This window comes from Homo sapiens, chromosome 5 (genome assembly GCF_000001405.40).
Source record: "Homo sapiens chromosome 5, GRCh38.p14 Primary Assembly".
NCBI lineage: Eukaryota > Metazoa > Chordata > Mammalia > Primates > Hominidae > Homo > Homo sapiens.
This window is the reverse complement of record NC_000005.10, coordinates 82806572-82820195: the sequence shown is the minus strand read 5'-3', so window position 1 is coordinate 82820195 and position 13624 is coordinate 82806572. Positions and strand designations below refer to the sequence as shown.

The following is a 13624-nucleotide window of genomic DNA, read 5'->3' as shown; positions in this document are numbered from 1 at the left end:
CATAACTCAGGAAATCTGTGAAAAATACCCTCCCATGTATAAGTTAAAATGGCACAGCATAACTGGCCATGAAACAACAGCTATCAGACTAGCTTGATGTCCAATAACTGGAAATGGATTATCTGATTGCACCAAAGATTTCAGAGGCATGAAGTCAGGTCAGCTGGTTTTTGGGTTTCTATTGTGGAAAAGATTCATATTCATATATTGGACCTTGTCCGGCCACTCATAGAGTAACCGAGAGCAACAGACTTTTTGTTCTTGACAGAGATACATAGAATACAAAGGAAGAGACTGGAGATTATCCCTGATGTCAGTAAAGTCTATAGCTCATGGAAATGAGAGCTAGAAACATGTGACAATATTTTTTAGGAACTGTTCTATCATACATTTTCAATAATTCTCTATTTACTACAGAACAGAATTCCCAATTATAAGTAAGTTTTGTAAAAATCTAAGCTAATTCTACCTACTCAGAATCAAGCCTCTTTGCCTGTCCACAGCCACCGTTTGCTGGAACTGAGATGGAGAACACTCACCATTCACTAAACACCCACACCTTGATTTCCCTACCACATTGCTTTGAGGGGCATGCTGTCATCTGTGGTGGCTGAAGTTCCAGGAAAGGGGCTGGTGCATTCCTCTTTGGACATACTAAATATGAGGTATTGATGGTGCAACCAAGGGTGAATTGTGCATTAAAGAGTTGGAGAGAGAGCTCAGCACTCAAGAGAGAGGTCTGGCTGGACACCGAGATTTAAGAAGCTTTCACCTAATGATTGTACGTGAAGGTTTGAGGTAAAAGAGATCATCTAAGGTGATTATGTACAACAAGAAGAGACAAGGACACTGGTTTTATAGGCTAGGCAGAGGAATTAGTAACAGTGAAGGAGACTGTGAGACAATGATCCAAATAAGGAAGGAAAATGGTGTTATGAATAATTAAGCTAATATTTACTGAATGCCATCTATGTGGAAGAGCTCTGTTTAAGCATTGTGCATAAGGTAAATCAACTAATACAATAATCTTATAAAATAAGTTATATTATATTCATTTTTAAGATGAGGACACTGAGGCACAGGAAATTCAAGTAACTTCCCTAAGACTACCAACTAGAAAGTGGTGAGGTTGGAATTAAATTTATCTGATTCCAGAATCTGTACCCTAGTCTATTCTACAATACCTCAGCAAAGGAAAAAGAGTTTCAACGTGGAGACAGCGACCCACATTTGCACAATGCCATATGGTCCAGAGAATTCAATTAAGATAATAAATGCAAAGTATCCATTGAGTTTGAGGATTAGGAAAATACTAGTGATCTTAGCACAAGTTGTTTCAGTGGATTCGAGGCAGTAGAATTTTGAAGCAAATGAGCTCCTAAGTATCACCTATATTAGATCTATTTTTAAAAATTTATTTATCCAGGCCCTGGTTCCAGCACACTTGAATAGGTTTTCAAAAAATAGTCATTCTCCGAATGTTGCAAGAGTAAAATTGAGCATGAGATGTCAATTCTCCACATTAGCTTCAATTCTCCATTTCCCTTTAGCTGTATAGAAATAGCCTGTGATGAAGAGTCAAGGCTGTATAGCTTGTGAAACAATCAGGGCTTGTCTAGCCATTTTTGTTTATGTATGTAGGAGGTCATGAGGAGGCATGCTACAGAGACTTTAAAGATGAGGGAACTGAAGCACAGAGAGGTTAACACTTTGCTGTTCGTGGAGGTGAGGGGTCGGGGAGGGGAATCACCTAGTGTTACTTCCAGGAGATTTGAAAGGCTTTTTACTCTTACTGAAACTAACAATTTGATTCAACATTTAATGCTAGACTTTTAGCCCCTTTATAGATTCTGGTGGAAAAGAGATGGCTTATTGGATGGGCAAGAAAGACCTTCAAGACCCTCTTCTCCTGGTTTCTCTCAGGCTCAGGAAACTAAGAAGTCTCTGTTTTCTGCAATTATCTCTACCATAGTCCCATATAGTTAAGGACTAATATGGTTTGGTGGTATCCCCGGCTAAATCTCATCTTGAATTCCCACATGTTGTGGGAGGGGCCTTGTGGGAGGTCACTGAATTATGAGTCTGGGTCTTTCCCACGCTGTTCTCAGGATAGTGAATAGGTCTCATGAGATCTGATGGTTTTTAAAATGGGAATTTCCCTGCACAAGCCCTCTTCTCTTGTCTGCCACCGTGTGAGACACGCCTTTCACCTTCCACCATGATTGTGAGGCCTCCCCAGCCATGTGGAACTGTAAGTCCATTAAACCTCTTTCTTTTGTAAATTGTCCAGTCTCGAGTATGTCCTTATCAGCAGCATAAAAGTGGACTAATACAAGGATTTTCTAGACCACTTTGGCAGCCATCACTGAAACCGGCCTGAAATATATATAACGGTCCTTCTCTTATGTTCAAGCCAATTTGAATGGAAGGAGATTTCTTTATTTCAGATATCCTCACTAATTAATGCTCTACAATAGCATAAATTTCTTGTGGTCCAAATCCTTTTCTTTTAAAAGTCACTAAGTGGCCAGGCATGGTAGCTCACACTTGTAATCCCAGCACTTTGGGAGGCCGAGGCAGGTGGATCACCTGTGGTCAGCAGTTCGAGACCATCCTGGCCAACATAGGGAGCCTTCATCTCTAAAAGAAATATATAATTCATGAATACTAACAGTTTATGGTTTTTTTAGTCATACAGTTCAAATGCCTTCTACTAATTTTAAACAGCATCTGGATTTTAAAGGAGCAAAATTCAAAAGAAAAAAGCTTGAAAATCCTTCACTGGAAAAACCTGCCCATTAAAAAAAAATAAGACCAAAGCTCAATTCTCACCTGGTTCCAAAAACCATTTGAATTCAGCATATCATGTGTTGGATTTTAGAATGGAGTAAGCAGAGAAACAGAGGGAAAACAGCAACATGTGTAAGTGATCACCAAAAAAATAGCCCGTTTCCAATACTGAAAAAAACATGGCTTGTACATAGGTCACAGAACAAATCAGACGAAACCAAAGTGCCAAGTCACAACTTAAAGGAAAAGAATCCACGAGGGACCTTCGTGAGCAGATGGATTAGAAAGGCTAAGTTTCAACTCATGAAGACTTGAACCTACGCTATCTGAAATAGCCAGTCAATAACATTAATAATAATCATAAGACTCTGAAAACTACAGCTGGGGGGATTAAGCCAAATGGAGAAGCAAGGGACTGAACAAGAGAAGGGACTTTCCACAGAATTACTGAAAACAACAATCTGGTAATGAGGGAGTTGCTTCTTTCTGCTGGAGTGAAATTCCTCTACAATGTTTTTCCTTTGTGGCTGCATTTTCTAGCATCAGTAGGAGTACCTTCTGAAGAGAGTAAGTCCAGTTCACTATTGAATCTGCATTCAAAGATGCCAGTAAGCAGGTAAGAGAAAAGTGTTTTTTGTTTTTGTTTTTGTTTTTGTTTCGTTTTGTTTTGTTTTTGAGACAGAGTCTCTTTCTGTAACCTAGGCTGGAGTGCAATGGCGAGATCTCAATCACTGCTACCTCCGCCGCCCGGGTCCCGGTTCAAGCAATTCTCCTGACTCAGCCTCCCTAGTAGCTGGGATTACAGGCACGTGCCACCATGCCCAGCTAATTTTTGTATTCTTAGTAGAGACGGGGTTTCACCATGTTAGCCAGGCTGGTCTTGAACTCCTGACCTTGAGATCCACCCACCTCGGCCTCCCAAAGTGTTGGGATTACAGGCGTGAGCCACCGCACCCTGCCGAAAAAAGTGTTTTGTAATTGAATCACATGAGACTATGTGGAAAGAAGTCTGGCTCAGTGAATTAAAAATTTTCATTGGTTATCTTCTTATAGTAGAGTGTTTCCCATAGAAAACACCTTCATGGGCTATCTTTTCCTAATAATGTAGCCAAAGTTGGTCAAAATCAAGAAATCTTGTGTTAGCTTCACTGGAATGCTTGTCCAAATTTTTTCATTGCCTTTCAATTTTATCAGCTTGCCAGCACATGAGAAACCCACAAGCAGCCCACAACCCAGGACACACATCTGTCCAAAAAATTATCTGCTCTTTCTCCTATCTAAACAATAAGAGTTCTGGTAAGGATCACATATTTGGTTACTGGTAAGTCCCTTGTAGTATGCCTTACAGGCTCTGTAACCTCTATTGGATCAAATTACACGTGGTGTGGAAGAGGAGAAAGAGTGGAATGCTGCCATAATCAGTGTTGGGTAACCAGAGAGGAAGGAACAGTAAAAAATATCAACAAAAATAAATATGGAGCTCTTACTCCATGTGAGACACTGCCTTAAACATGGTGGGCCATAGAAACAACCTTAGGATCGAGTTCCTGTCCTTAGGAATCTCTGTCTAAGTGGAGATTATAGAAATACAGAGTCATCACTTGAAGCCTGTATTTTGAACGAGTACATAACAAAAGGCCGAAGACTTAGCAATGGGGACCCTGAATTAAGAAGTGGCATCCTCCCACTACTCTCAGTTGGAATGGAACAAAATTCATGAGGGACACATGAGAATGTCCCCAGATCTGGAAGAAAAAAAAAGTTACTATTTGATGAGTTCATACCAAGTGCCAGGCTCTCTGTGCCTTACATGTAGTAACTCATTTAATCCTCCTGATAACCCATAGGTGATTGCTATTGCTATTTCTGTTTCACAGATTTGGAAACTGAAGCAAAGACCTTAAATAATGTGGCCACGTCATGCAACTAATAAGCAGTAGATCTGAGATTATCTCAAAGGTATACTAATGCACCTAATAGTGCACCTAAAATGACCAAATGGGTTGCTAACAGTTCCACAGTGAGAAGGAACTGGGAAGTGGTGTTATAACTCATTGTAAAGCCTGTGAATTTTCTTCAAATAAATGCATATGTAATACTCAAATACATAAAGAAAGGTTCTGTGAGCTTCCTGACAATAAGGAGACCAGATAATTTGTACAGAGACTTCTCAATGGATGAATAGCTTGAGTTCCAAAAAATCTTTCCCCTTTTATTCTATTTTTTTTTCTTTTTCTTTTTTTTTTTTTTAGAGACAGGGACTTGCTACATTTCCCAGGCTGGTCTTGAACTCCTGACCTCAAGCAATCCTTCCACCTCAGCCTCCTAAAGTGCTGGGATTACAGCTTTGAGCCACTGCACCTGGCCTTCCCTTTCATTCTTATATACAAAGTACCATTATATAAATAAGTAGTTGTGCTTTTGTTCTGATGCATAGTTACTCTGTGTCTATGAAAGATGGTACATTGAAAAATTTTTAGGCATTGAATTTTTGACTTACAAGACTTCAGAATCCGGAAGCATCATGTGTACAGAGGAGATGAAAAACTTTGAAGTTGAAGGAAGGTCCTTGATCAAAAGAAAGGGAAAGTAGTGTTTACATAAGTGAGAGGGATATTCCCATTTCCAAATGGAAATTTTGTTTAGGTGAAGAGCCGCTAGTAGTACAATGAAGTACAAATCCATTTATTCAACCAGGCCACAGAACCATTTGCATTCTATGTGTCTGGCTAGGGGAAGTAGTCAGTGAAACCCATTAAACAGTGCTCAGAAGAAACCATCCAGCCCAGTACAATGAAAATGTACTTTTCAAGACCCAATGATCTATCCAAACATCATTTTAGTTGCTGTGGGAGAAGAATGCCATCATTCCTACTCAATAGATTGCATTATTATTGGGGAAAGAAAACAAAAGCATGCAAAATGAGAGCATGAGATGCTGACCACAGCCTGGGAGTTAAGGAAGAGATTAAAGGAAGAAACACCTTCCTGACCTGAGTTTTCTGAGAAAATGGAGCTGGAGCTTGGTAACACTCATCAATAGCCCAAAGATGGACTTTTGGGACTTTGCCTGAGAGCCTGTGGAGAAAATAAAGACCTGGGCTGGATAGTTTCTTCTGAGTACTGTTTAATGAGTTTCACTGACTACCTCCCCTAGCTAGATACATAGAACGCAAATGGTTCTGTGGCCTGGTTGATTAAATGCTTCATCAGGCAGACAGGCCCCTGGGAACTGTATGCAACATTTTATTGCCTTTCAAGGCAGTTGTTTCTCATTGTATAGATGCGCCTGAGTGGATAAATAATCGAGAGTTTCAATGCCAAAGGCTAATTTGCCCTGGCTTTGGAAATGCCTCTTTTTTTTTTTTTTTGAACCCCTAAGCAGCATGAATTATACTGATAGTTCTGCATGTTTCTGGCTGACCACCAAGGACCCCCCTTCCAGGAGGATGGGAAAGTTGCCGGATGAAGTTTTCTCACAGAATTTACCACTGACTATAAAGTGAAATTGCTACAATGAATAATCATCTTTCCTTGTGCAATCTTAATTGAGTTGGCAACATGTGTAATTACCATGATGGCAGAGGAACCCTGTGATGTTGAATGAAGGACGAGTTTCTTTGGCTATCTGTAGAAAGCCTCAAAACACGTTGTCTTCTTAAAGGCCGACCACCACTGAACTCATTTGAGCAGAGGTACATTTCACTTTGCTTGGATTTACCAGGGCTTTCAAAATTCAGTGCTTTCATGCCTTGCAAATAGGTATTTTTGGAAAGTGAATGCTTGCAGGTTAAGGGGATTTGTAATCTTTCTTTCAAGTGCTATTCCTAAGGTTCAAACATGTAAGTCTATCAATGAGTTGCAAATCACTGTAATGCAACACTTATCCAATTTGCAAGGATGTTTGTTAAAAAAAAAAAAAAAAAAAAAAAAAACAACCAACTCTCTCAAGGGGAAAAAAAAAGCTTCACAGCGAGAGCCTGCCCAGGGGTAAATTATAAAGATCTCCCACGAACATCAGAACTACATAAACTGAAGTGTAATTACCACCTAAGTAGGAAAATATAGTCTTTGTTTTTTACCTTTTCACCAAAAGACTATATACTCCTAGAAGTTCAAGAAAGGTCATTGGCAGAACCTAACCTTTACTTTATTGAAACTACCAAAGCTAAATTATACATGTTTTTAACAGCCTGCTGAATGCTATGCAAAGGCTTCTTTACAAATGTCAATCATCACTGAAACCTCAAGTCAGTGTCAAATCCTTGCAAATAATAGTAACAAAGTTCTTCAGTCAGATGCCTATGACTGAGATGGGTTTCATTATTTTCCCCTCTGACTTCTCATAACTGGAGGAAAGCTAGGAGAGAATGTGATATTGCAAAAATAAGCCCTGAAAAGTGCTTTGCCTCTTCCAAAAACTGATGAGCTATATTATTGCTGTAAGTACAATTGTTCAAAGAATATATTATACATGTGAAATCTATATTAACTTATTTAGGCTCCCATGGTATCATTTCGTAAGTTATAGCTACCAGAGACTCTTGGTATGCATTTTCTTTTATCTGGATAAATAGGAAATGGTAATATTGCTCAAGGTAGTGTGAGACAGCTGAATATTCTTGAACAGTCAGTAAAGGTCAAAATTGGGAAACAGGAATTTGCTTATACAATCCTTTCTGTGGCTAGCTCTCTTGCTAGCATGCAATTCAATACTTTCTGGGAACATTTGTGTGCGAAAGAAGCATGTTTGTATGCATCCATTTTTGTACTTCCATTTGCTTAGCATGGCTTTTGTTTGGTAGCTGAGAGTGCTCAAGGACATTAGGCTTATTATTTAATTTATTCAGTCCCCAGGGCTAGACCTCTAGGCAGAGCCATGTGTGGACCTTTTTGATGTGCTTCAAATTATAGTGTTTAGGCAACTTCTACTTCTCTTCCAATGAGTCTGATGTGATCTGAGATATTGCTGGGTTGACTGGCCTAGTGGGGTCTCCTCTCTAAGAGGATAGTTTGTGTAAAGTGGGGAATCAAAATCATCCTCTGCATAGGAAATGAAAGTATGTTTCAAAGCTTACACTGTGGGGGGAACAAACACACTAGGGCCTGTCAGGGTTGAGGGGCGGGGGAGGGAGAGCATCAGGAAGAATAACTAATGGACTGTGTGCTTAATGCCTAGGTGATGGGTGGATCTCTGCAGCAAACCACCATGGCACAGGTTTACCTATGTAACAAGCCTACACATCCTGCACTTCAACCCCAGAACTTAAAATAAAAGTTAATGGAAAAAAAAAAAAAGAAAATGTAAACTACTAAGAAATGCCTGTTCTTCACATTTTAGATAAATAGTGGATCTGGGACAATAGGATCTGGTTTTGTTTGTTTGTTTGTTTTCCTCTGTAATGTAACAGTGCCTGGAAGAGTTAATGTGATTTTATTAAAATTTCTATTTTAATGCCAAGAAACAATTTCTTCTCTGGAAGCATGTAGTTCAATATTTCTTAAAAGCCAAAAAGGGAGAATGTGAAAAGACTCTTCAAAGAGTTTTCCGTCTTTGCTGAGGCAACAACAATGATAGTGATAATCATGATCATTATCTCTTTCATTTGCATGGGATTTTTTAGCTCATAAAACGCTTTTATATACATTATGTCATTTTCTAATATAACTAAAACCTTGCATAATACGAAATTAGCTGTTGCTTATGTCAAGGCATTTGTGGGTTATTAGAAGCTGTGAGCCAGATGTTATGAATGGTATAAAGAGTGTATCATGGCAACGCATAGAAAGGTCCAAACTTTTGTATAGACAGAATGGCAAGACGATGAGAGGAAAATGTACCATAGCTTGCTTTACTGGAATAAAGAGTCCAAGGCAGGGTCAGGGCGAACAGAGGCATGAATACCTACTTTGGCTTTAGTACCTTATCCCAGAGATGGAAGGAATCCATTTGAAGTGGCTGCCTAGGAATCTACGTGAGATGGGTATTGATGCCATGTCTGAGATAAGCAGGAAGGAGAACAGAAGTGCCTCTACTTATGAGCTTTCCACTTCTGAACTCTCATGAATTTATGAACAAAGCTGCTTACAAAGTAAAAGCACCTCCACTGTGTTGTATCACCATCAGTTTCATTTATGAATTATTTCATTGATTCATAGATTCATTGATTTACTAAGCACTCTTTTCACACATAATTATTGTGCCAGGCACTCTGCTTGGTGTTGGAGACATAGTGAAAAGGACAGACAAAGTGCCACCTCATACAGCTTGTATGACATAGACAAAGAACAAGGAAACAAATAGCAAAATAAATACAGATTGTGATGTATCATAAAGGAAAATACAGGGCAATGAAACGGAGAGACAGTTTGAACTTCTTTTTGGAAACATAGATCCCAAGAGCAGCTCTATTAAAGAAGCCTTAAAAATTGTGTTATGGAGGCCCAACACAGTGGCTAACGCCTGTAATCCCACCACTTTGGGAGGCCAAGGTGGGCGGATCACAAGGTCAAGAGGTTGAGACCATCCTGGCTAACATGGTGAAACCCCGTCTCTACTAAAAAATACAAAAAATTAGCCAGGTGTGGTGGCGGGCGCCTGTAGTCCCAGCAGCTTGGGAGGCTGAGGCAGGAGAATGGTGTGAACCCAGGAGACGGAGGTCGCAGTGAGCCGAGATCACGCCACTGCACTCCAGCCTGGGTAACAGAGTGAGACTCTGCCTAAAAAAAAATTGTGTTATGGAAAATGTAACATCCCTTTGACAAACTCTGGGCTCACTTCTTCAAAAGTGTCATGAAGAGCAAGATCAAATGCTCACGAAAAATGGTTAGGGCTGGGTGTGGTGGCTCATGCCTGTAATCCCAGTGCTTTGGGAGGCCAAGGCAGGAGAGTTGAGTGAAGCCAGGAGGTTGAGACCAGCCTGGGCTACAAAGTGAGGCCCTAATTTACAAAAAATTAAAAAAAAAAAATTAGCTGAACGTGGTGGTGTCCACCTGTAGTCCTGGCTAGGCAGGAGGCAGGAAGATCGCTTGAGCCCAAGAGTTTGAGGGTGCAGTGAGTGAGCTGTGATTGCACCACTGTACTCCAGCCTAGGAGACACAGCAGGACCTTATCTCAAAAAAATTGAATAAATAAATGGTCATGATAAAACAATAACATGGAAGTAAATGTATTTTTAGAGTACATTAAATACAATAAGGTATCCCCTTACAGAAGAAACTAGGTAGGTCAGTGTTAGAAAGTTGCTGTGGTGGACAGCCCTTCTCTTTAAATAGCTTCTTTAATTTTTGAGAAAAAGAATTGCTGCTACAGATTATCTCATAAGGTTTTGTTATATAATTCTTGACCAATTAAAAAATATATTGAGCAAGCCTGTACTAGCTTGAAATATATTCTGATCTTTATTCTCCTTATTTATTTTATTAAGTCTTGGCAAAATGCTCTGTAATTGCCAGATGTTCTCACAAGTCATATGAATATTCAATGCAATTTTTTAATGCTTTATCTTCATTTAAGTTTCGTGTGCTAACCAACTGCACTACTGGAGCTTCTAAGGCTTTATCTTCAATTCACTTCTTATAAGGCTGAATCTAGAGCAAATCTCCCTTCTCTGCACCAACAAATTAGCCCACCTACATGGTTCCCAGGAGGGGACATCTATGATTATTGACACATTTCTTGCTTAATCAAACCGATCTGAGTTTTGAATGTGTAAAAACAGAGATGGAAAAAATTTGGAATGCAAATGGGAGAATGCAAATTAGGGAAGAGGTGGATACTTAAAGGAAAATCAGCATGATATTGGCAAAAGAAAGATGAGTAGATGCTGGATAAGGAAAAACAACAGTCAGGAAATAGTCAACTTATATGTTGCAAGTCTCTTTTGTGCTCACAGTGGACATTGCTATTCAAAGAGTATTCTTTTCTATTGAGCTTGGGGATGGCCTTAGAATCTTTTCAGCACATTACAGCAACCTCTGTCACTTTATCAGAGATGTCATATGGGGTCAAATCTATTTGCCATGGCAGTGTAAAGGGTATTGCTCACCCAAATATTTGCCTTTTAACAGGTAATATGGTTTGGTTGTGTCCCTACCCAAATCTCATCTTGAATTGTAGTTCCCATAATTCCCATGTGTCGTGGGAGGGACCCAGTGGGAGTAATTGAATCATGGGGTCAGTTCTTTCCCATGCTGTTGCTGTGATAAAATAAGTCTCATGAGATCTGATGGTTTTATAAAGGGGAGTTCCCCTACACAGGCTCTCTGGCCTGCTGCCATGAAAGACGTGACTTTGCTCTTCATTCCCCTTCAGCTATGATTATGAGGCCTCCCCAGCCGTGTGGAAGTGTGAGTCAATTGAACCTCTTGGGTATTTGAACCCAAGGTTCAATAAATTGAACCTTTATTAGCAGTGTGAGAACAGACTACTACAACAGTCTTCCAAGTCTTAACTTGAGACAGTAATGCAGGAGTTGGAGGCAATAATTTAGGAAAGATATTTAGGAAATACCTTCTTTTTAGGAAAAATGGGCTCATTTAGGAAATTTCATTTTAGGAAAAATGAAGATATTTTGGGACAGGGATCATCGTTTGTTTTTCTTGCTCCTCAAATCTAGGTCACCAGCTCGAACAGACCCTTCTTGCTCTGTCCCAAGGACAAAGAAGATGGCTGCTGCGTTCCCCTCTGTGAAGAATTTGCTGGCCTTTGAAAGAAACGGTCAGTAGAAGATTCACTGGATAGTGAAATTCTTTGTGCCTGGGATGTGTTCAGTCTGCTTTTCTGCTGCACCAGGAAAGAAGGTCCAGTGTCTTATTTCATTCTGGAGCTTTTTGAAACTTTTTACTCTGTACTTTAATTTTGGCAACCTTGGACTGATGGGGTTTGTAGATATTAATTATCAAATTGTTATTTATTAGCTGATATTCTTTCAATTCAATAAATATTTTAAATCCCTTGTGGTGTCTGTTGAACACGTTACCAGGAAACTGAAATAATATCTTCAGTCTTCCTTTTCTTTCCTCCACAAAATAGAAAGAAGATAACTATACATAGCTGATAGTTATTTTCTCTCAGAAATTCAAATATATTATTTTTAAGTGCTTCTGTAAATATTTGAACTGAATGCAATTTAAAAAATAAAAATCTAAAGACCAATACAATTTTATCTCATAAGATTTTTATTTTTGACCTTTAAGTCAAGAATTAATATCTCTATATTAGCTGCAAATGGATTTAATTACCTATATCTGATTCCATGTTAATAATATTAAACCCAACATAGAAATATTGCAATTATGGGTGTGGTTTTTACCTAAGTATTCCCAGGAGCATTTGGGACCAGGCAGAATATGGAAATGTTAAAGGTTACAGCTCAGGAGCTAAAGGTGCGCCTATAATGAACTAAATCAAAGTTCAATGAAATAAATTCAAGATATTTATTGATGTTTATTAGGGACCTTAATGGATCCACTTTATTTACTTGCAGGATAATTGGAGTATAGCAGTGTAAGTAGAAGTTTCAGTAGAAGGAAGCAGCCTATTGTTAAAGACCAGTTGTTCACTTTGCTGATGATTAAACACTGCTCTAATATAAAGGCAAAAAATATTTGCTGTGTTTTCCTTTTTTCTGTTTAGGCTTAAAGGAAACATAAGTAGCTGTAGTATTGTGATAGAGTAGACACCTAAAGTCATCAGTTTTAGGTAAAAGGCTAGTGAGGCCACTCCTGAAATTTTGCGTTGGAGGGGCTACAAATTACTATTATCCTTCTGATTCCAGTTGTGTGTGTTACAAGTTTATTTTCTGCAACTTTGAGGACTTGAAATTTTCCTTAATGCATTTGTTCAACTTCTTTCCAAGAAAATTATGCTATTAATTTAATTACTAAGATCTTTATTTGTATTTAACTTATTAAATATATGTGTTAGGAATTGCTTAGTAGAGTATTATTTATGGTTACATAAGAAAAACACTGCTAATAAATATAACTAGGAAAGAGGGAAGGCTGCTGGGATTCATCACATACAGCATATAGCCAAGGTATTGTAAAAGCAGTCATTTATTATATGTGACTGTATTTACATTTTTAATATTTGTATTGTCCGGAAGGATTTTCTTGCAAAAGAGTGGTAAAAGAGGCCAATAATCATTAATATAACTAGATAAGTTCCTTGCAGAAAGGCAGAAAAATGCTCCAGAAACATCATATGCTAAATTTTCTAGGAACTGTGGATAGCTGTGGATAGCTGGGTTTCAGCCAATTTTTGACAGCATATAAATAATTTTGATATATACGAAAGAAACTTTGGAAAAGTTCAGATGAGCTTTTCCTTGGAGACATGACTGCACAAAGTTGGGGTGCTGATTATAGTTCATTCAGTGCAAAATGATCCCCTATTCCCAGCTTTATACTCCAGTAGTAATTACATGGGCTCCCAGAATGGGGCTAAAAATGAGGCCTCTTTTTATACAGTAACTTGGCTGTCACATTTGTCGCAGAGAAAAAAGAAAACCGTTGATGCGAGTTTGTAACAGGGTTCAAACACTTTTCAGGTTCACCATTGTTTTTATTTTCCAATAGAATTTCGTTTGACTCTTGCCTACACTTCTATCTATTGTTATCTCTCACTTCTGCTAGCCTCAGCCTGCTTTCTACATATACTCCACTCAAAAGAGGCTGAAGCAATTCTGAAACGTGTTTATACAATTATTCACTGACCACATCTGTGTCTACACATGCAGTATGAAGTAAAGATTTCTCCCAATTATATTCAGACTCTAACAAAATGGCAAATCACTCTGTTAGAATAACCACTTAATAACTTCATTCTGCT

The 13624-nt window shown here is 38.7% G+C and overlaps 1 long non-coding RNA gene across 1 annotated transcript, besides 1 other annotated feature; it reads left to right on the top strand.

Moving 5' to 3' along the window:
* Positions 2021-2180: an enhancer, noted in NCBI's record as "active region_22737". NCBI's record gives its function as "activates an Ori minimal core promoter by ATAC-STARR-seq in GM12878 lymphoblastoid cells {active_cell/tissue: GM12878}" and the evidence as "EXISTENCE:reporter gene assay evidence [ECO:0000049][PMID:35858748]".
* LOC124901020 (uncharacterized) lies at positions 3202-11747 on the top strand. The gene is made up of 2 exons (XR_007058846.1): positions 3202-3406; positions 11409-11747. It is a non-coding gene; the product is annotated as an uncharacterized LOC124901020 (long non-coding RNA).
* The last annotated feature ends 1877 nt before the right edge of the window (positions 11748-13624 follow it).